The sequence below is a fragment of the Homo sapiens genome, chromosome 8, assembly GCF_000001405.40.
Source record: "Homo sapiens chromosome 8, GRCh38.p14 Primary Assembly".
Taxonomy (NCBI): domain Eukaryota; kingdom Metazoa; phylum Chordata; class Mammalia; order Primates; family Hominidae; genus Homo; species Homo sapiens.
The window spans coordinates 108,877,500-108,902,624 of NC_000008.11; the positions used below are offsets into that span (position 1 = coordinate 108,877,500).

At 36.5% G+C, this 25,125-nt stretch overlaps 1 long non-coding RNA gene across 2 annotated transcripts in view; it reads right to left on the minus strand.

The window, feature by feature from the left end:
- The window catches only part of LOC101927413 (uncharacterized), a 78,895-nt gene that overhangs the window by 7,486 nt on the left and 46,284 nt on the right, over nucleotides 1-25,125 (minus strand). Inside the window, exon 4 of one of the 2 annotated variants that reach the window (NR_188035.1) lies at nucleotides 17,503-17,636. This is a non-coding gene — a long non-coding RNA (uncharacterized LOC101927413). Of the gene's footprint in view, nucleotides 1-17,473; nucleotides 17,637-25,125 lie in introns of those variants that run through there. The other variant, NR_188034.1, reaches the window with a different exon arrangement.

Consider the following 25,125-nt stretch of genomic DNA (forward strand, 5'->3'; position numbering starts at 1 on the left):
TATGAAGCTTTATTTCTATACCTAGGGAGACAGGAGGAGTGTCTGAATAAAATATAATGTTTGGGATTAATTTTCTTTTCCTTTTTTTTTTGAGGCAGAGTTTCACTCTTGTTGCCGAGGCTGAAGTGCAATGGCATGATCTCGGCTCACTGCAGCCTCCGCCTCCTGGGTTCAAGCAATTCTCCTGCCTCAGACTCCCTAGTAGCTGGGATTACAGGCACCTGCCACCATGCCTAGTTAATTTTTTATATTTTTAGTAGAGATGGGGTTTCACTATGTTGGCCAGGCTGGTCTCGAACTCCTGACTTCAGGCGATCCACCCGCCTCAGCCTCCCAAAGTGCCGGGATTACAGGTGTGAGCCACCGCGCCTGGCCAATTTTCTTTTATTCACAAGGAAATCCATCAATGTTTTTCTTTATGATTTCACTAGGTCTGCATTTGGCCTCTTCCATTCAATGCTTTGTAGTGGGTAGGGTCTATACCACAGCTAGGGTAATCATTTAAAATGTAAATCCAATTATTTCACATTTCTGCTTAAAATGCTGGAGATTTTCTTGTATTCCTAGAATAAAGACCCTAACCCAAGCTAAATGCCGTATATGATCTCTCTAGAATAATCTTGGGCCTTTTTTCCCCTTTGCTTTTTGACATACAGCCACATAGGCCTCCTCTTAGTTCTTTCCCACTTTTGCCCAGTTAATCCCTAGTCACACTTGAGATTTTATTTCAATGTTACACCTAAAATGAAGTCTCCTTTGATCCCTTAGAATACATTGGATCTCTTGGCCCAGTGCGGTGGCTCAGGCCTGTAATCCCAGCACTTTGGGAGGCCGAGGCTGGTGGATCATGTGAGATCAGGAGTTCAAGACCAGCCTGGCCAACATGGCAAAACCCTGTCTCTACTAAAAATACAAAAATTAGCTGGGCGTGGTGGCGGTTGCCTGAAATCCCAGCTACTCTGGAGGCTGAGGCAGGAGAATTGCTTGAACATGGGAGGTGGAGGTTGCAGTGAGCCGAGATCGCACCATTGCACTCCAGCCTGGGCAACAGGAGCGAGACTCCATCTCAAAAAAATGAATAAATAAATAAAATAATAATAATACATTGGATCTGTCTAAGATATGCTCTCACAACTGCCTGCATTTTGTTTCAAAAAGTGATAGAACTATATAAATATATGACTAGGTGATTGTCTATCTTGTTTCTTTGAGGGCAGAAATCACTTCCTGTTTCACCCAACCTTGTAATCTGAGCACCCAGCATAATTCTTGGCAGTTAGTGGTTATTTTAAAAGGCTAAATCTAAAGCAATACTTTTTAAAACTGCCAGTACATTCTTCTTTATTTCTCTTACACACATAGAAAATATCTATTGCCTATTAACATAAGAAAATTGTTTGCTAAAACTTAGAAGTCTTGATACATTATTTCCACCGGCCTTTAAGCCCTGCTACATTTTCAAATTGCATTACATGGAACTATGCTTTTATGTAGTTAATCACCACTTGTCAACCTAAAAAAGGTGAAGGTCAACACCATGATATTTTGCCTTGAAAAATGCTTCCCAAAGGAGATCACTGATGCCTTTTTCTTTATAAATATAATTCCTTGGTGTTTGACTTTATTTTTGTCAATAATTCATGCAATTAAAAATTAATTACACACATATAAGTAAATATGATTTTCAAAAAAAATCTACTGTGGGCCGGGCGCGGTGGCTCACGCCTGTAATCCCAGCACTTTGGGAGGCCGAGGCGGGTGGATCATGAGGTCAGGAGATCGAGACCATCCTGGCTAACAAGGTGAAACCCCGCCTCTACTAAAAATACAAAAAATTAGCCGGGCGCGGTGGCGGGCGCCTGTAGTCCCAGCTACTCGGGAGGCTGAGGCAGGAGAATGGCGTGAACCCGGGAAGCGGAGCTTGCAGTGAGCCGAGATTGCGCCACTGCAGTCCGCAGTCCGGCCTGGGCGACAGAGCGAGACTCCGTCTCAAAAAAAAAAAAAAAAATCTACTGTGGTTATCATGGTCTCAGCTAAGCAGGAAGCTGCCATCTGGAGAAATGATTTTCACATTCTGATGACTGAAGTGGCCTCAAATCACTAAGTGTGACATGCTTCCTTCACTTATTTTCTAATTAAATGCAATTTGCTTTGAAAGAGTTTTAACTAAAAATATAATTCTACTGATATAATCCAAGTAAAATATAGCCTGACAAATGGAGAAAGAATGGAAAGTAATTCTAATATCACCCTTTCAAAATAAAGTGTGACCATCCAAAGATGTGGCAAATTATTATCCCTTGTTTTAAACACTGTTTTTTCCCTTAGGTTCTACTCCTGTGGAAATTATAATTTGAAATCCCTAGTTCACTTATTTTAAAAAGTAAATAAAAATGGCAATCTGCATTTTTCCACTGACCAAATTTAAATGATTTCCTTCCTAAGGCTGAACACATGAAAAATAAAATCATTTTATTTATATGTTTTTAAAATGAGCATTACTAGTGGCATGGCCGAAAAATTGGAATAGCACTTGTCACTTCAGCACAGCAAATATTCCACAGCAATTACAATTGGGTGACTAGGTCAAGTTTGTCCATCCTAACAATTTCAGGGGACATACAAAATAATTTGTATATATGTATATAAATATATATGTGTGTGTGTGAGGAATACCATATATATTATATGGCATGTGTATGTGTGTATCTATGTATATGTGTGTACATTACATTATTACATATTATGTATACATATTATGTGTGTACATTACATTATTGAATGTAATGTGTGTGTTTGTGCATGTATTTATATACAATTTGTGACATCTGCCACAAAATACCTTTTTCTTTATTACATAGCATGTTTGTCTCTGTCAGTTAGGATTTGCATTCAGTTGCTATGTCAGAGACTGGAAATAACAGTGGCATATACATAACAAAAGTTTATTTTTCTCTCTAGTAGTAGAAATCAAGAGTCAGGTGTTCTGAGGCTGACATGGCAGCTCCAAAGTCACCAGGGCCCCATATTCCTTCTATCTTTCTGTGCTGGCAATCTTAGTGTTATGGACTAAATATCTGTGTCCCCCACAAACTTGTATATTGACCCCCCAACCCCCAAAGTGATGGTATTTGGAGATGGCACCTTTGGGAGGCAATTAGAGTTAGATGAGGTTAGAGGGTAAGGACCTCATGATGGACTTAGTGCCCCATAAGAAAAGACAATAGAGAGCTTGCATTCTTTCTCCACATGCAGGAACCCAGCAAAGGCTGTAGAGAGGACCTAAAGAGAGGGCAGCCATCTACAAGCTAGGAAGGGGGCCTTCACCAGGAAACTGAATTGGCTGGTACCTTAATCTTGAACTTCCTGGTCTCCTGTACTGTGAGAAATAAATTCCTGTTGTTTATGCCACTCAGTCTACAGTATTTTGTTTTGGCAGCCCAAGCTGACTAATCCATGTGGTATGTGTTTCCACTGTCACCTTCCCTCATTGACCTAGATTTCTGCTTGAGCTCCAGCTTAGAAGTAGGGTAGTAGAAGAGGACAACGTGACCTTCCTGGAAGCCCCACTCAATGAGGTTTGAATTCATTTAAATTTCAGGTATGCAAGAAGGCTGGGAAATTTAGTTTATCATCAAGGCATTCTCCCTAGGGTTATATAAGGAAGAAAAACATGACTATTGGGCAGGCAGCTGAAAGTATCTGCAACAATGTGTATTTGTCTCTTCTCTAGAATCGATGAGGGTATGTGTTTACATGCCAGCTGAATTAGTCTTTTGAACAAATTTGATTCCAATCTTGAACTCTAGAAGATAAGTTTCTAGGAAACCTTGATCCAGGCCAATTAATTTGTTTTTCTGAACCATAGTAACATCTATTTTACTCATTAAATGTGGTCTCTGTGTCTAAATACATTCTTTTTGGTTAATTAAGTCATATTTAAAATGTACTAGGAAAACTCAAAAATCAGATAAATCTCATGAGAGAATCTTTTGAAAAATACAATTGATACGCTAAATTTCCTTTAAATTTTTTTCCATTTTTTTCTTTGTTTTAGTAAAAGTAAAAAATATTGGTTCAGGTACAGCAAACCAACAGGTTATATCAACTAAATTGTTAATGATACTTAATTTATGGAGTAAAAATGAGGATTTTGAATGCATGTATACATATTCTGGCTGATGCCAGAAACTTTGCAAATAATTATTTCCTATCCTCCCCATACCCCAGTAAATAATACAAAATAAAATAGGAAAATATTAATGTAATATTAAAACACAGATTTGATATTTAGAACTTGCCAACCTGGAAAAAGAAAACTTTCTACATCTTCATCATAATAAAAACATGTTCACATTTCTCTCTTTCCGTTCACCAATGACTATATCTGTAGATAACCAAAGAGAGTAATGACAGACCATTAGCACCAATAAGATAATTCATTTAGATAACTCAATAAGATATAAAATACTACATAAAATATGGAATGTAAGATAAAAATAAAATGTTGAGGTCTGTTCGTCCTGATAGAAAGTAAGATAATTGCTCTGATCAGCTCTGTCTTATGTGTGTCCCATATTTGTTCTTTGAGAAATGCCCATTTCTTGCCCCAGAACAGTCTGTAAATGCTGTGTGGCCCCAAAGTCATCACCTCTCTTTTACACATTGTCAAAGCAGCCAGGCAGCCCTGGCCATTAGATTTTCTTAGTGTGACTCAGACCCCTGTCCACTGCATTACATGAGACACATACTGAGCTTCAAAAAACCCCCTTTTTTCAGTTTCAGAGAACAAGATCCTTCAGCACTCTTTCTTCAGAATCAATATGTAGATTTCTCTAAAGAAACCTTCTCATTCTAACTCTTAATATTTTTATACCATTGTTGAGTAAAGGGATAAGAGTCACTTAACTTGGTGTTAGGTTTCTTGGTGTCTTGCTTACACATTTTGCATGTGGTCCAGCATCTCCTTTGAAATGTGGTACTTTTAGTCTCATGGTATCTCAGCAAAATTTTTATTTCAAACTAAATAAGTATTAGTTGTTATTATTGTCCAAGGAAAAAGGGCATCTGTGTTAGCACTGAAGGTAGTAGCTGAATAAAATTTTAGTTTTATATGTCGCATCTTTTTTATAGAATAATTCATATATTATGTTTAAAATGAGAAAATATTTTTTAAAAATAATCTTTTTCTACATGAATATGTTTTTCCAGTATTATTTATTAGGGCCTTCATTTTCTCAGAGTCTGCCATGTTACCTCTGCATATATCAAAATTCTATAGATGTCGGTCTGTTTCTAAACTCTATTTCATTTTTTGTCAATTTTCTTGTTTTTGTGCCAGTGTTGCACTGTCCTAGTTATTATTGCTTTATATAAACATGATGTCTAATAGAGAAAATCCCCCCACTATAGCCCCTTTCTGCAAGAAGTCCTTGACTTTTCTTGGATGTTTTGTCCTTCATAAATGTTTTAGAATCAGAGTCTCATAATAATAATCAGTGATTTGAAGACCATCCCTTATCCCCAACCCTCAACTCCAGGAGATAAAGAAGAAAACAGTTTTTGATAATCAAACATATGGGTCCGACTTGTTTCTCTCTCTTGAAGTGACTGTATCCCCCTTTATTCCCAGATAATTGATGGTGATGTTAGCCAATCACAAACTTTCTCATGGGAGACACTAAGCAGATTTCCCTCCAGTCTCTGGTAGACGTTAGTATAAAGGAGCATTGCATGTAAGAATGACTCATGACTTCATTCACAACAGAGGTAAAGGCCAGAGAAGTTCCCATGTTTGGTTTCATTACCCTTGTTACATTACATATGAATTACCATGTGGAAATAGAGTGTCCCATATCTTGCTATATATCAAACACTTTCAGTGACTGTCTAGCAAGCTCATATCTTCACAAATGAACAAAAAATTGTAACATAGCAAATGGCTTACAAAGCCCCTAATTTATTTTTAAAAGATCTGCCAATAGTTCCTGGCATACTCTGTCTGTTGCTTTTGTCATTTAAAATCATGGTCATATTTCCAGGTCAACACATAAAGAAAAAGATTCAATTTATATAATTATGTGATATTCACAACCAGGGATATGGCAATTAATAAAATAGAAAGGTCCTCTGAATGCAATTCTGAATACAATTTTAATTACCCTCTTCTTCGAGATGCATCACCAGAGCCTCCCTTACTCCTCCCTCCTCCCAGGTAAAATTGATTGCCACATTCTTTCTTTCTTTCTTTTTTTTTTTTTTTGTGAGACAGTCTTGCTCTGTCACGCAGGCTGGAATTGCAGTGGCCCCATCTTGGCTCACTGCAACCTCCGCCTCCTGGGTTGAAGCGATTCTCCTGCCTCAGCCTCCTGAGTAGCTGGGACTACAGGCATGCACCACCATGAGTGGGTTTCTCCATGTTGGTCAGGCTGGTCTCAAACTCCTGATATCAGGCAATCCTCCTACCTCGGCCTCCCAAAGTGCTGGGATTACAGATGTGAGTCACCATGCCTGTCCGCCACATTCTTTTTGACATTACTTTTTTTTTCTCCGAATTTAGCTCCATGCTGGCACATTTGTCTTTAACACAATTAGTTATTCCATGCTTTGATGCTCACTTCATGAATTACCTCTCTGAGACCTCCTCTCTTCTTTTTCTTCCACTGAGCCTTGAAGATTATTTTCTTCATTGTGCCATAATTTTTTCCAAGTCTTTTTCAGTAGCTAATTGTGTTCATAAGGTCCTCTCTTGAGGGTCCTTCCTCAGGAGAGCGTAAACCTCGTCATTCTTCTTTCTACTCTCAATTTCTCCCCTAATGCAAAGAACATCAGAATCCATAAATAAGGTTTAAATAAATTCTCTCAAGTTTTCACAAATCACCTCCAATAAGAGGACTTAAAAACCACATCTACAATATTTTAAAGTCGTATTTAGGTATTTCCATCTGGATGTCATTTTATCTCCAAAAATCCAATATCTTGAAAACTGAATTCATCATCTTTTCTCACCATTATCCTTCCCCCCTGACAACTCCCTCTATTGAATTTTTATAATATTTAACCATCATTGTTTTGAGTTAGTCCAACTCATTGACTCTGTTTTCTCTTACCTTATATCCTGTCAGTTATCAAGATCTGTTGATGATTTTTTGTCCTAATATTTTCTAAAACCATCCCTTTCTTTCTTCTCTGAAATGAAAAGCCAAATTGTAGTTATGCATGTTCTCAAGCCTGGCCTATTGCTATAGTTGCCTAACATGGTGACTTATAGACACTCGAAAGATGATTTTTAGTGGAGTGACCAGATGTCCACATTTGTACAGTAAATTATGTGGTCCCCATACTTTTGGAAATAATGGAAAGTTGTCACAAAGGTGTACATGAAGAGATCCATGGTCCTCATGTGTCAGCCGTGGCATCTGTCAAAAGCTGAAGAAACAGAGCCAGGTGGATTCCCTAGCGATGTTTTTGCCACCAAGCTGGTCTTAGAGGAAATTATATAAGTTCACTGAAAGGGACATTATTAGTAAATCTGGAGATTGTGGTAGTCCTTTTGACCTCATTTATTTACTTGTTTTGCCTTTTCAGGAGCCTCTCTCACCCTTTCCATGTCTGCAGAGTCTTCCCTCTTCTTACGTGCTCCCCTTAAGTTCTCACTATCCTGGGGTATGGTTCAAAGCTCAGGACTTCCCACGTTTCCACTGAGTTCCATCTTCTTAAGTTTGTGATCTTCGTATAAGACAATAGCTAGTCATATTCATTCATCCATCCATTCTATAAATACTTAATGAGCACCTAATATTACCAGGATTGTTTCAGGCACTGAAAATAAAAAGTAGACTTTGCAAAGATGAAACTAACTACTCTCCCTGACCCCCTCAAAACTTCAAATTCTTAGAAAGGCAGTATATCATAGTTAAGAGCATAATTGGAAGACAGATTGTCTGGGTTCAGATCTTAGCTGTACCCCTCTCAGTATGAGAAGTAGTGCAATTACTTAAACTCTCTGTGTTTCGTTGCATCATCTATAATAATAATAATAGTATTTACCTCACTCAAAAAGCATAGTGTAAGCATTGCACCAGAAAATATCTCAAACTCTTAAAATAATTCTGGTACTTATTAAGCACTCAATAAATATTGACTATTAAGAGTATGCCCTAAATACTCTGGGCATTTCAGGTCTAGAGATCTGAAGACCATGCTGAAAATATGGTAGTCACAGCAATGTGTGCTGTGACAGTTACAACTTTTTCTCTGCCTACGTATCAAGTAAGCTTGATGAACATTGATTGTTTGATTGATCAGTTAATGGCTTTGGGATTTTGAGAGGGTTTCAGTCATTAATTGATACAGAGGTTGAGCACAACTGACCTTTGGTGTCAGACAAAACTGGGTTCAAATCTTTCTTTGCTGCATATGTGCCATATGATCTTGCAAGAAATTGGGTTAATGATTCTCCTGATCATGTATCCATTTAAGTGATGTTTACTTACTCCCTGCTAGACACTATTTTAGTCCCTGGGAATACAGCAGCGAACCAAATAGATGTGATCTCGGCACTGTGTTGCCTACAGTTTAGTGAGGTAAGGGGAAGAAAATATGCAAACAAATAAGTGAAAGAAATAGTTTTAGCCATCTCCTATGGTAATTGTGAGGAGTTGTAAATTCTCCAGGAATGTAATTGCCAGGATAAAAGGAATTCACAGTTTAATGTAAGAACCAATCATACAAATAGTTATTTGTCATTCTATACGGAAAAAACAACAGAAGCATCACTATGGGGACAGAGAGAAAGTGTGATCTAGAAAGTGGAAGATTCTGGACCACAGGCAGGAGTTGTAGAATGGTGATTGGCTTCAGGCAGGAACTGCAGTAAGCTTCTTGAGACCAGTTTTGCTGTCAAAGACCATTCTTTCTTTCCTTTTGGCTTAACATTGCTGCCTGAATTGTTTTCCAAGTGAGTTTGTTTCACCATATTAGACCTCTCCTAAAATATTTCATTTTCGTAGCTCACTCTTTCTCAAATGCCCAAGGAAACATTTTTGTAGGTGCATGCTCTTTTCTTTTTCTTTCTGTGTTTCCTTTTCCTTTTTCTTTTCTTTTCATTTCTTTCTTTTGGAGACAGGGTCTTAATCACCCAGGCTGAAATGCAGTGGCACAATCATAGCTCACCGCAGCCTCAAACTCCTAGGCTCAAGCAATTCTCCCACTTCAGCATCCTGATAAGCTGGGACTACAGGTGTCTGCAACCATGCCAGGCTATTTTTTAAAAATCTCTCATAGAGACAGGGTCTCATTATGTTGCCCAGGCTGGTCTTGAACTTCTGGGTTCAAGTGGCCCTCCTGCCTTGGCCTCCCAAAGTGCTGAGATTACAGGCTAGATGTTCTTTTCAATCTTTCTGAAATGGTTATTGAATTTGAAAGCCCAAGCCAAAGGAGTTAAGAAGTGCTAATCTGCAACAAAATTCCCTTTTAGTTCTGTCCTCTCATCAGGATAAATCTTTTTGAGGGATGCTGCCTTTTCTTTACATCTTTGTATCTCTTGCATTTTCTGATATCAAGTTCACCTTTGGGAAATTCCACCTGGTGAGAAATTACAGCAATTCCCGACCTAACACTTACGGCAAGAGTCCAATCTCCTAGCAATTGACTGATCACTCTGACCTCTAAGCTGGACAGTGCAGAGCCACCTCAAAGAGCTCTTACAGGAACCCCTGGTGGATATAAACAAAATGAGATCATTGAAATGAGTGGAATGCAAACACCAAAACCCGCATCTGGACTTTAAAAACATGCACTATCAAGTTCTGTGCAAAGCCTCCAGGCCCACATAAAAATCTGAAATGATTTATAGGAAAGGCCTAGAAAATCTATGTGGACGAAAACCTGTGACATTAAGCCTCTTCTTTCTTCTTCAGGATGGGTTGAAGCATAAGAGTCTATTTCACGTAGAACTGTAACAATTTGTAATTTTGTAATTAACAAATGGTAAAACTAGCAAGATTTCTTCCAGATATAGATGCCAGGAGCCTTTCTCCCATTTTGACCCTCTCATGTTGATTTCAAGGCCTGCATGAATCTGTGGTTGGTTTTTCACCTTTTAACTCCACCCACAACATCAGATGTCAAATTGAACACTGTAGTCAAAGAGTGAGACAAAATTTAGATTGGAATATCTTCAGCTTGCTGAAAAGTTGGTAGTCTGTATGACTGCTTGCATTTTCCATCAACATTTCGTATTAACATTATGCAAAGTGCTGCTTTAAGGTTGCAATTATTGTAGACACATGGGCTGGAAAAGTGATGTCAACCAATTCCCATTTAGTTGAGTTTCTTGATTGTGTGCTCATGACACTGATGAGAAAAACAAGTAGATTGAAAGGAATACTTCTGTCTTCTGTCTTCCCTATCCCTGGGGGATTCTTACGATTGGCTAATGACTCTCAAATCTATGTCATCTGTATAACTGACAGCTCTCTCCCTTGAACTCCAGTCTACACCTGTAGCTGCCACCAGAGGTCCCTAAAACTCATCACATTCAGAACTGAAATCCATTATTTTTCTTACTAAACCCTGCCCACCCCCCTTCATGTCTTAGATTAATGCTATACTATTCAGACAGTTATACTAAGCTGAAATCTGTTATTGCTTTCCAGGAATTCTGGAATATGTAACAATGTCCATATTCCAGCATTCATGTAAATAGACAATTGTAGAGGAGTAAAAGTGCATACAGTAGAGAAGACCTAAATATCTAACTTTAAAAAGTCCTTTGATTTGAGTAGCATTGCCACAATTCTCTGCAGGGTTTTGATAGTTTACTAAAGGGTGTAAATAATTAAGTACAATTATCACCACAATTGAAAAATCAACCTCAAGCTTGTTGTCCACTCTTATGGGTTCAGAAATGCATTTTTTAAACAATTAAAAATGTTAGCAATTAAATCCAGATTTATTTGAATTTCACTGGCTTTCCCCTTAATAACCTCTTTCTGTTCCAGGAGCCAACCCAGGGACCACACTGCATTTAGTTGTCATGGCATGCTATGTCTTCTGTTCTATGACAGTTTCTCAGCCTTTTCTTATCTTTAATGACCTTGGTAGCTTCGAAAATACTGGTCAGGCACTTGTACACTGTCTCCCAATTTGGGTTTATCTACTATTTTTCTCATGCTTATACTGGGGCTTTTCATTTTTGGAGAGAATGTCATAAGGTGAAATTCCTTCCTCATTATATATTATCAGGGGATACATGATATCACTTGTTATGTAATATCACCTGGTGAGAGTGGTATTTGCCAGCTTTCTCCACTTGAAGTTTACTATTAATATTTTTCCCTTACCTTACTTTATCAGGCATGTACTTTCATGCTTAAAAGATTCAAGTTTTCTAACAATCTTTCATTTACTTACCTTTCTTTTTGTAATTCTCTAACACATAGCACTGTCTTTCAGATAAAAAGGAAAAAACAAACTTAATTTGAATTTCTTTCTGGACTCTAACATAATTCAAAGTAATCTTTGCAGCAAATATTTTTCAAATATAAAAATTTAACTCAACCTAGTGCTGACTGTTTCATATATAGCATTTACATCAATATCATGACTCATGGTTATAGTGCATTTGAGCTACTCTTGTCATTGATTGACTAGGTTTCCTAGAACTTATAAAAGCTCACTTATATGAATAGTCTTTATGACATTAATCAATCAAGAAAGCACTCAGAATAGCCCACTTTTTATAAGAAAAGCATATGTAATACGTTTATGTAAAGTTTTTTAAAGATCTAACAAAAAGATATATATCTGAAATATGAGTGATAAATTCAGATTTAATTCAGATGAAAATGTTAATTTAAAAGTATAATTTTATTTAAAATTATGTATAATCCCCAAAACTTCCTCTTGTCAGTGAAAAGATGCATACACAATAAAACATTTATATCCACCCCCTTCTCCCTAATGGTTGTCTGGCTCAAGGTTTGTCAGCCATGTTCAGCTGAGCTGTATCTGTGCACTTTCTGAACCTCTAAAGCTGAATAAAATATTTGCAGACACGGCTCAGACCTGATAGAAACAAGGTCAAATAACTGGAACATTAAATTTATCCTCATAATATTACACTTGTCACTGACCTAACATTTTGATAAGATCCTCAGGAAATATACGGTCATGTCTTCTTGTATCTGTAGAATATTTGTGTAATTGCTGCAACAACAGAATAAAGTTTGAAACCTAGACTACATGTGAAAAGTGTGGAAGATACACCAGCTTAAGACTAAGTGGTATTTACTGCTGGAATTTAAACATGTTGGTGACTGACTTCCAGGAACCAATTTCCTTTAAAGTTCTGTTAGACACTGGGGAGCAAGGCAGTGCTTTGATGTACATGAGACATTGTTGTATAAAAAAGAACAAGAACATCCTTCCAGCTTTTGTGGGTAATAAAGCATAGCTTCCATCAGATGTGTAGTTCAAGAACAGCGGGTCCACTGGCACAAAGAAGGTTTCAAGGCATTAGCTGTGGTTGAGGAAGCATTGATAATGCCCAGCCTTGGGAACGTCAGCTAGTGGCCAAGATTTTAGCAGTGATGTCCTATATATGCTGCTTTGGGATAAGTGGCTAAAAGAGGCCTCAGCAGTACATAGGAGTTGAAGAAGATGGGGGGAACCAAGTTCATCTGATGCTAAAACTAGTTTTTCTTAATTGCCATACTATAATGTTGGTTAGTTTGCTCAAAAGGGATCATACAAAACACTTGGCTCATTGTCAAGAAATTGAAAATTGATTACATCTTTCTAAAAGTACATGCTGACACCAGTAATAAAACTGGGAATAAAGGCTTAACGTATAGATATGAAGAACTTGATAATCACCCACTGGTAACTTCTATAATAATCTTCAATTTTTAAATAGATAAATGGCAATAAATGATATCTTGCATCTCACAGTATGCATTTATTTTATTGGACTTTTCCTGTGGCAGGACCATTAGTCTTCAAAAATGTTTAAAGTAGTACATAAAGTGACCACATGGTGTCAGGAGCGACATACTGTTCTTACTAAGGAACCAGCTTTTCAATCTGGGAAACACAACGATATTTTAAAAATGATTTGCCTTACTAATTTTCTCCAATTTTGATGCTTCAATTAATCAACATTTTAATACAATTTCCAACAATTTGGCTCAAGATGTTTATAATTAAAGCCGTTCTGATTTTATTAAGATGACCAATAAATTTCTGTTGCAATTTAATTTTAAAGTTGTGTTGATCTTTTATTGGAGTCTAGCTGTACTAAGTAACCACTCTAGAGATACCCGAGCGTATTTTCTCCTCTTCACTATTATAGGGCTAACCTATAAGGAGCAGGGTATAGTAGAAAGAGAACTAGTTTGGAGTTAAGCACCCTGCCTTAATAGTCCAGCTATTTTCTACATCTATAATCTTAATTATGTAACTCGAGTTTCTGTCTTCTCATTTGCAAAAATTTCTGACTACTGTCCTAGTATATAGGTATAGGGGGATTTGCTGTGATTGGAATTTATTTAGTGATTCATGTAACAGCTCATTAGTGATGGATTGAGCCAAGCTTGCCCTTTGATTTCTGACTAGGACAGTCTGCCCAGTTAAATTTGAATTTTGGATAGATCATGAGTTTTTGTTAACATAAGTATGTCCCAATTATTGCATGGGACATACTTATACTAAAAGATTCTTTGCTCTTTATCTGAAATTCAAATTTAATTGGATGTATTGTACCTGGCAACCATACTTAAACATTATATTAATTGTGTTTATATGTTAGTAAGAAATAACTATAGTGGGGTGTATCTGGCTCTTCCTAGAAGCTCCTCTAGCACCTAAGAAGAGGTATATTCATTCACATCAAACAAAGTTACAGGAGATTTTTCCGCCAACAGATTAAGTATCTGGGCAAAGCAAATATGAAATAATAAAAACCTCTTTTATGAGGTTTTACAACAACATTGAGGGAAAACATCATAAGACATAAATGAAAAATCTAGAGAATTTTTCTCTCTTGGCTTATGATCAATAAAGAGAATGTTAAAGCTACCAAAGAAGTATAGCAATAGAATTAATAGGATTGGCTGTTGCCACTAATGTAATGAAGGGTAGGGAAATAGAAGAAAAGTTTGGAATGGTTCTCAAATTTCTGATTTGGCTGGACAAATAGTACCAAGAACAAGAAGAGAAAGGGGCTGATTTTGAAGGAAATATTGAATTCCAGTTTTAAAATGTCAACGTTGAGAGACGTCCTTTGGTGAACATAAGCATATGGAGCCCCGATGAGAATCTACGTTAGAGATATAATTGGCAATTGAAGCTGTAGAAATGGGAATAATCATGGAGGTAGAATGATAGACAATGAATAGCAATGGGCCAGTGACAAAGACCGAGGGAACACATACATTTAAGGGGAAGAAAAAGGAAAAAGAGCACAAAAAGTAGATCAGAAAGAAATCATAGACAGAAAACTAAGAGAAATAGTGTCATGAAAGAAAGAGATAAGAGCTTTACAAAGGTGTTCAATGGTGCCAAATCCTGATGAGGTCAAAAAGATGTAACAAAAAAGAAGGTCATTGAATTTGACAAATGAGATGCCATTGAGGATGTGTGCCAAAGTATTTTTATTGAAGCAGTGGGAGCCAAAGCCAGATTGTGGGGAATTGGTGAGTCACAAAAGTAAAGAAGTAGAATAGTGAATGGAAGTCAATCTGTAAAGCAGGTTGGCTGTGGGTTGGAGGAGGCATGGCAGTACTTAAAAGAGACATAGGAATGAAGGAGGGCTTCCTGTTCTATTTTAAAGGGAACATGGAATTGTGGCCTTTTTTTCTTTAATGGTAGATATTTGATCAATCTTATGTGTTGATAAAGTCGAAGTTGAAAGTGCAGAAGAGAGGATAGACCACCAACAGTGGTCACAGTACTGAAAGTAAAAGAAGGGGTGGGGGACAAAAGCACAGAGTGGGGAGGTTTTAGTCTCAAGATAGAGGTTCCATGTTTCTTGAACTGTGACTAAAAAGAAGCAGATGAAAGTCAGCAAACAGTACAAGTGAAAGGGAGGTCGGAAGAGACAGGAAGAGAGAAGTAACTTGGAGAAACTAATCAGGTCGCCCTTTTCAGACTCAAACATAAATGAAGACATGTTATCAGGAAAAGATAGTCATGTTAGGAAATCTTTACTGAAATCTAAAGACAGGGTAGGTCAACCAGAAAGACTCAAGAGGGTGAGAGATACAGAAACAGGCCATGCCCATTCACAGGCCAAGGGAGAGAGTGCTCAGTTAAGTCTACCTGGCAGATATATCACTAGTGAAGTACAACACATGAGATACTAGAGTCTTTAAACATTCCAATATTTTTATGAATTTCCCTCATTCTTATTTTATTCTAAGAACCGTTTTTGAATACCATTTTCCTGGTATAGATGTTTATTCCATCTTCAATTAACTTTCTCTTTTCGAATGAGTCAATAGGCATTCTGATTTTAGTAGTTTAGTCATTTATAAATTAGTGTGAGTCAAGTTTCTTATGCTAAATTAACAACAACAGCGTGAGCGGATCTGAATTTTTGACATGCATATCTGACAGCTAGATGCTTGATTATGGTGAATACATTCATCTTGTGAGGCTTCCTAACAATCGGTGCAGCTCTGCTGGAGACATTCTAATCCAGGTGCATAACTTTCCTTCTTCCAATTCTGTTTGGAATATGGCTTTTAACTCATATATATATGAATCATATATAACTCTTCCTCTGTGTGGTGTGGCCAGTCTTGCATCAATTAAACTCTTTCTTTACTGTAATGCTATGGTCTGAGTAAAATGATTTTGTCTGCGCAGCAGGTAGGAAGAACCCGATGAGTGATTACGTTAGTGTTAGCTCCACACTTCCCATTATCACAGTGTTATAATATAGTAGAGGGTATATATATCCACATAGATATGTATATTTAGTATATATAGTATAATATATAGTATATACTATATAGAGTATATAATATATAGTATATATAATATATACTATATGTATATAATATATAGTGTATAATATATATATAGTAGAGGATAATGGTTAAGTGCATAAGCTTTGAAACCAGACAAACTGAATTAGAATCCAAGCTCTTCTACTTAAGCTGTATAATCTCAAGCAAGTTAATGCACTTCGTGCCTCAATCTCCTTATCTTAAAAATGGATATAATGCCGATACTATCTATTAATCTTTTGTTTTTGAAATAAATTAATTAATGTGTGTAAAGCTCTTAGTACAATTTATGGCACATGGCATATACTTAGATAGTGTTAACTACTAGTGAAACAGCCCTTGCAAAATTATGATAATAAGAGAAGTCTGACATAGTTGACTCCATCTTGCTTTTAACCTCCAAGCTATCCTTGATCATTCCCACCATACGCCAAACTAACTTTGGGAGAAATTTACTTTGTAGGCTAGACTTAAAGCAAGAATGATAATAGCCCTTCCCAAAACTAAACAACCTTTATAAAATTTATGAAATTCCATAGGTTCGAATTTTGAGAGGGGCCTGGTTTCTGCTAAGATGTAAGTATAGTTCAACAATTATCAGCCTTTGTTCTGGAGGTCATGAGATTTGTAACTTCCTCATTAGCCCTGTAGATAACATCACTATTGTAGAACTTAAGATTAGCCCTTTGAGATTTCTTTTCAGACTTTTGCACTTCTGACCACCACTGACTCCATCTGGACTCTTGACTCATGAATCAACCAGTCCTGTGGTCCCCACCCCCCACCCAGAGGTGGACTCAGTACACAAGGACCATGTTCCACTCTCCTGTGACGGCTTCTCCAACCAATCAGCAGCACCTATTTCCTAGTCCCCTGCTCACCAAACTGTCCTTGAAAACCCCTAACCTCCAAGTTTTTAGGGCAACTGATTTTAGTAATAACTCTCTTCCGTATGGCATGGCCAGTCTTGCATCAATTAAACTCTTTCTTTACTGCAATGCTGTGGTCTCAGTAAAATGATTTTGTCTGTGGGGCAGGTAGGAAGAACCTGATGGATGATTACATTAGTGTTAGTTCCACACTTCCCATTATCACAGCCATGATAAACTGTGTCCTAAATTATATGTATTATCTTTTTTCCATTTTTTAACAAATATTTATTGAGTAGCTTTTTTTGGTGCTTAACCTCATAGTGCTGGATATAAGGGAAACAATGGTGAATAACACAGAAAAAGGCCCTTGCCCCAACACATTTACTACCTGATAGGATAGAAGGTTGTAAGTAAATAATCAAACACAATAATATATGGTGCCTGTGCCTTAATGCCATAACAAGCAGCCCACTCAAATAAGAAAACCACATTTTATGAGTTCCATCCTCTCCCTCATCATCTGTACCCAAATCACTCAATTGTTTTAATTGTGAATGTAGATGAATGTGACTTAGCATTTTGTTTAGATTTGAATCTCTGAGGTATTTTTTATTAACCTGTAGTGTCATCAGGCAGCCAGGATCTTTTCATGTTTTTATCTGCAATCTGCAATGTGTAGACTTTTACCCTTATCCCTATTGCTTCATGGTCACAAGATGGATGCTGCATCTCCAGGTCACATGTCTAGAGTCTGGGAAAAAAGAAAGAAAGAGAAAGGGATGAAAGTTTAAGTGGGCTTTGTTCTTGTGAACAAGAAAGGAAAGTCTTCCACAGCAACTCTATCTGTATTTCTTTGGCCAGTATACTACCACATGATTGCCTGCAGTTAGAAGGAGGCTGAAATATTAACCACGTAACTAACAGTCATGCTGCTGTCTTAAATAAAAAGGGATTCTATTAGGAAGACAGAAGTTTGTGAAAATGTCATGAGGTGACTAGCAATTAATTAGAAAAATTAAAATTGCCTTTTATGTTAATTTTTTGGTAAACACTGAATCTTTAAAAGTAATTAACATCGTTGTGTTAAAACTGAAATTTCCACAAAAAACAAAAATTAGGGAAATGGGATATTTAACTAAAAAGTTTACATTATAACTAAATTAGTTAAAACCTTATAATGCTGTAATTTTCTGAATTCTTATCTTTTTATATAAAGTTTTAAAGTTTTGTTTTTTCGAGTTTCTATTGGAGACCATGTAAATCTCATACCAGTACTTTAACAAATTGGTCTTTATAAAATCCACACAATATTCTGACCACCAAGCTAATGGGACAGACTTGAGTGACTACACATTACAAAATTAGTTTTTAAAGCCACTAAACAGATAACTACAACCCACAACAAGAACCAACAGCAAGCTCCGGGGAAGGGAAATAATCTGTATTTCAGAAGTACTAGATATAATAATCAGAATGCCAGTTTTTAACAAAGAATTATAAGGCATGCAAGAAGAAATGGTAGCATGGCAAACTCAAAGGGAAAAAAATTAATTGACAGGAATCCCAGACATCGGAATTACTAGACAAATAGTTACATCAAGTGTCTTAACTATGCTTAAATAGCTAAAGGATAACATAGACAAAGAAAGAAAATTGAGAGAATGATGCATGAGCAAAAGTACAATAACTGAAAATCAAAAAGTCACTGGAGGGGTTCTATAGCAAATTTGAGCAGGCAGAAGAAAGAATAACAAAACATAAATATAGGTCAGTTGAAATTATGCAGTTTGAGGAACAGAAAAAAGAATGAAGAAAATGAACAGAGCCTAAGAAATCATGGAACAACATTAAACATAACAACATATGCATAGAGAAAGTCACAGAGGCAAAGAGGGAGAAAGAGGCATGTTATAGTTTGGATATTTGTTCCCTGAAACTCCACGTTAAAATTTGGTACCCAATTTTGAAGGCGAGGCTTAATTGGAAGTGCTTGGGTCATGGGGGCAGTTTCCTCATTAATGACTTAGTGCAGTCTTCATGCTCATGAGTAAGTTTTCACTCTATCAGTTCCTGTGAGAGCTGATTGTTAAAAAATAGCCTGGTACCTCCTCTGTCTCTCTCTTGCTTCCTTTCTGACACAGTCTGGATACTTGTCCCCACCCAGTTCTCATACTGAAATGTAATTCACAATGTTGGAGGTGGGCCCTTGTGGGAGGTGATTAGATCATGGGGGTGGTTTATAATGGTTTAGCACCATTCCCTGAGTGGGGTCTCATGATAGAGTTATCACGAGATCTGTTTGTTTGAAGATGTGTGGTACCTCCTCCTCACTCTGTCTCCCTCCTGCTCTGCCATGTGAGGATGGTGCTTGCTTCCCCTTCACTTTCTGCCATGATTGTGTTTCCTGAGTCCTCCCAGAATGACTCCTGTACAGCTTGTGTGGCTGTGAGTCAATTAAACCGCTTTTATTCATAAATTACCCAGTCTCAGGTAGTTGTTTATAGCAGTGTGAGAACAGACTAATTCAAATGGTTTGTCACCATTCCCTTGGTGGTGTCCTTATGATAGTGAGTGAATTCTTGCAAAAAATGGTTGTTTAAAAGTGTATGGCACCTCCCCTCTCTCACTCTCTCTCTCTTGCTCCCATTCTCACCATGTGAGATGCCTGCTCCCCCTTCATGTTCTGCCATGAATGTAAGCTTCCTGGGGCCTCCTGAGAAGCTGAGCAAATGCCAGTACTATACTTCCTGTAAAGCTTGCAGAACAATAAGCCAATTAAATCTCTTTCCTTTGTAAATTATCCAGTCTCAAGTATTTCTTTATAGCAATGTAGAAATGGCCTAATACACTTTCTCACCATGTCATCTCTACACACACCATCTCCACTCCACTTTCCACTATGAGTGGAAGCAGTGTGAGGCCCTCACCAGAAGCAGATGCTGGTAACATGCTTCTTGTACAGCCTGGAGAATTGTGAGCCAAATAAACCTCTTTTCTTCATAAATTACCCTACCTCGGGTATTCTTTTATAGCAAATGGACTAAGATGGGGACAGAAAATATATTTGAAGAAACCAATGGCTAAAAATACCAACATTTAATGAAAGACATGAATCTACATATTCAAGAAGCTCAACAAATTCCAAATAGGATAAACTCAAAGATAACCAAACTTAGTCCATTTAGGCTGCTAACACAATTTACCATAAACTGGATGGTTTATATACAAGAGATACTTATTTGCAGTTCTAGAGATGGGGGAGTTCAACCAAGATTGTCTGATAAGGGCTTGCTCTCTGGTTCATAGATGGTGCCTTCTTGTTGCATCCTCACAAGGTAGAAAAGGACAAATAAAGTCCTTTTGTCCTATTTTATAAGAGCACTAATCCCATTCATGAGGGCTCCACTTTCATATCCTAAGCACCTCCCAAAAGTCCCACCATTTAATACCATCACACTGAGGATCAGGTTTTAACACATAAATTTTGGGGGCAAACAATTAGACCATAGCACACACCAACATACATTATAATTAAACTGTCCAAAGCCAAAAGCAGATAAAATCTTGAAAGCAGAAAGAGAGAATGACTTTTCATGCACAAGGGATCCTCAATAAGATAAATACTAATTTCTCTTCAGAAACCATGGAGATCAAAAGATGATAAGATGACATATTTAAAATGTCAAAAGAAAAATAAAACTGCCAATGAAGAAATCTATATCCAGAAAAACTGTCCCTCAAAATTGAAGGAGAAATAAAGACATTTCCAGGTGAAAAAAAGCTGAGAGATTTCACTGTTAGTAGAACTGCCCTACAATAAATTATAAAGGTTTTGCGTTCTATATACTAACAACAAACTATCTGAAAATAAAATTAATAAAACAATTCTATTTATAAGAGCACCAAACAGAATAAAATATTTAGGAATAAACTTAACCAAGGAGGTGAAAGACTTGTACACTGAAAACTACAATATCTTGATACAAAAATTTTAAAAGACACAAATAAATGCAAAGATATCCTGTGTTCATAGATTAAAAGACTAATATTGTTAAAATGTCTATACTACCTAAAGTGATCTATAGATTCAATGCAATTTTCATAAATATCCCAAATGGCATTTTTTTTTACAGACACAGAAAAAATAATTCTAAAATTCACCTGGGAAAACAAAAGACCCAGAATAGCCAAAGCAATTTTCATAAAATGAAACAAAGCTGGAGGCATCATACTTCCTGGAGTCAAAATATATTACAAAGCATTAACCTCACATGGTAGCATGTGCTTGTAGTCCTAGCTATTTAGGAGGCTCAGGTGGGAGGATTGCTTGAGCCCAGGAGTTTGAGAGATATGATTGCACCACTGCACTTCAGCCTTGGTAACAGAGTAAGACCCCGTCTTAATTTATATATATAACAAATTTATATAATAAATTATATATAACAAAGCTATATAATTTATATTTTATATTATAAATATATAGTATAATATATAATATAAATTATATAATATATATTATATATTATATTTCATATATTATATATAAATCATATATAACAAAGTTATGGTAACTGAAACAGTATAGTGCTGGCATAAAAACAGACATATATACCAATGGAACAAAATAGAGAGCCTAGAAATAAAATCATATCTATACAGTCAACTGATCTGACATAGCCACCAAGAATACACAATGGAGAAAAGATAGTCTCTTCAACAAATGGTTTTGGGAAAATAAATATGTATATGCAGATAAATGAATTTGGACCCCTATCTTATACCATATACAAAATCAGCTCAGAATGAATTAAAGACTTAAATATAAGACCAGAAACTATAAAATTACTAGGGGAAACAAGGAAAAAACTCCATGACATTCGTCTAGGCAACAATTTCATGGATATGAACCCCAAGAGCACAGACAAGAAAAGCAAAAATAGGCAAGTGAGCAGCATCAAACTAAAAAGTGGGACTAGATTCTACACAGCAATGGAAACAGTCAAGAGTGAAAAGACAACCTATGGAATGGGAGAAAATATTTGCAAACCATATATCTGATAAGGAGTTAATATACCAAAATATATATGAAGCTCCTATAACTTAATAGCAAAAACCAAAACAAGCATACCTTGTTTTATTGTGCTTTGCTTTATTTTTATTTTATTTTTTCAGACAGAGACTTGCTCTGTCGCCCAGGCTGGAGTGCAGTGGCACGACCTCGGCTCACTGCAACCTCTGCTGCCCAGGTTCAAGTGATTCTCCTGCCTCAGCCTCCCGAGTAGCAGGGATTACAGGTGTGTGCCACCACGCCTGGCTAATTTTTGTGTTTTTAGTAGAGATGGGGTTTCAGCATCTTGGCCAGGCTGGGCTTGAACTTCTGACCTTGTGATCCACCCGTCTCGGCCTCCCAAAGTGCTGGGATTACAGGCGTGAGCCACCATGCCCGACCTATTGTGCTTTGCTTTATTGTACTTTGAGATATTGCATTTTTTACAATTTGAAAGTTTGTGGCAACATTTTCCCAAGTTTAGTCTTGGTAATGCCATTTTTCCAACAGCATGTGCTCACTTTGTGTCTCTGTCTCACAATAATTCAAACTTTTTCATTATTATGATATCTGTTATTGTGATCTGTAATCATGGATCTTTGATATTACTATTGCCATTGTTTTGGGGTGCTGAGAACCATGTGCATATAAGATGGCAAACTTAATTGATAAACATTGTGTATATTCTAATTGCTTCGCTGGCCATTCTTCCATTTCTTTTTCCCTCCTCAGGCGTCTCTATTCCCTGAGATACAATAATATTGAAATTTAAGCCAATTAATACCAAAGCAATGGCCTCTAAGTGTTGAAGTGAAAGGGAGAATTGCATGTCTCTCACTTTAAATCAAAAGCAAGTAATGAGTGAGCTTAGTGATGAAGGCATGTCACAAGCTGAGATAGGTTGAAAGCTAGGCCTCTTGCACCAAACAGCCAGGTTATGAATGCAAAAGAAAAGTTCTTGAACAAAATTAAAGGTGCTATTCCAGTGAACACGTGGATGACAAGAAAGCAAAACAATCTTGTTGTTGATATGGATAAAGTTTTGGTGTTCTCAATAGAAGATGAAACCAACCATAACATTATCTTAAGCCAAAGACTAATTCAGAGCAAGACCTTACCTCTCTTCAGTTCTATAAAGCCTGAGAGAGGTAAGAAAGGTGTAGAAACATAGTTTGAAGCTAGAAAAGATTGGTTCATGAGGTTTAAGGAAAGAAGCCATCCCCATAAAAATCCTTCTTAAAAATGCAAAGGGAAGCAGCAAGTGCTGATGTAGCAGCTGCATCAAGTTATCCAGAAAATCTAGCTAAGTGATGGCAGAGGCTACACTAAACAACAGATTTTTGAATGTGGACAAAATAGCCTTCTACTGGAAGAAGATGTCATCTAGGACTTTCATAGCTAGATAGGAGAAGTCAATGCCTAGCTTCAAAACTTCAAAGGACATCTAGGCTTTGTTGTTCTATGTAGGAACCCTGGGGATTTTTGGAACGGCAAATGAGCGTTGGCTTCCATTTAAAATTACCAGCTGCATTAGCTTCTAGGAAGGGAATCAGCCTGTCCTTTGAACCCTCAAAATGTATAAAGAAAAATTTGACAGAATGGAAGGCAAAAATAGACAATTCAACAACAAGAGCTGATACCCCAACACTCCACTTTTAATAATGGGTAAAACAACTAGACAGAAGATAAATAAGAAAACAGAGGACCTGAACAACATAGTAAACCAAGTAGATCTAATAGACATATATAGAATAATCCACCCAATAACAGCAGAATACTCATTCTCATCAAGTACACACGGAAGATTCTCCAGGACAGACCATATGTTAGCCCACAAAACAAGTCTCAACAAATTTTAAAATATTGAAATTATACAAAGTATCTTCTCAGAAAAAAACAGAATGAAATGAGAAAACAGTAACAAAAGGAAAACTAGAACATTTACAAATATGTGGAAAATAACACTTTTGGCAACTAATGAGTAAAAGAAGAAATAAGGGAAATTAGAAGACACTTAGAGATTAATGAAAACTAAAACACAACAAACCAAAATTTATAGGATGCAGCAAAAGCTGTGCTCAAAAGAAAATTTATAAACATATGCATTAAAAAATAAAGATCTCAAATCAAAACTTAACTTTCCACTTTAGGGAACTAGAAAAAAAAGGCAAACTAGGTTTAAATCTAGTAGAGGAAGGAAATAATGAAGATTAGAGTGGAGATATAAAACAATGTAAAACCAAAGAGCATTAGAGATTTGAGATTAGGTGAAAAGTAAAACGTATGTGTAATTCAAATCCCAGAAAAAGAGGAGAAAGAGAATGGAGAAAAAAGCAGTATTTAGAAATAATTACAAGAATTTTTGAAAACTCATAGATTCAAGAAGCATAAAAAATTCCAATCAGGAAAAATGCAAAAGGAAGCACACTTCGTGTTACTCAGGAAACTATATACAGAAAAAAAAAGTTAAAAGCATCTACAGGGAAAAAGAACATAAACTTAAAAGGAGTAATAATAATATTGACATTTTATAAGCATGAAATCCAGAAGACATTGAAGATCGTTGAAGTCTTGAAACAAAATTACTACCAACTCAGAAATTCTATACCGAGTAAAATATCCTTCACAATTAAAGGCAAAATAAAAAACCTTTCGAAAGAAACAAAAACTAACAGCATTTATCCCAGAAGACCTATGCTAAAAGAATTATTAAAATGAATTATTCACATGGCAGGTATGTAATTCCACATGGAAGCACAGATATGTAGGAGGAAATGAGAAATGATGTAAAGAGTGGGCACAAGAGTAAATTTAAATGAATATTGACTATAGAAACAATTGTAATATGTTAGTCATTTTAAAATACTTGTTTAGTTAACGCATGAAAACAATTCTAAAATGATGAGAAGATGGTAAATGGAGTTAAGTGTTCCATGGGAACCATGGAACCTCTCATATATATGGGGGTTTAAAAATTCAAGGATGCATATTGTAGTCTCCATGGCAACCATCAAAATAATAGTAAAATATTACATGGCTAACAAGCTTATAGACAAGAAAAACCTAATAAGAATACTAATCAGAAAAACATAACTAACAAGCTAATAAATAGGAAATACAATAATAGAAATATTTAATCATAAAATAGCAAGAAGAGCAAAGGCATGGTAAAATAGATGAGATAGATAATTAA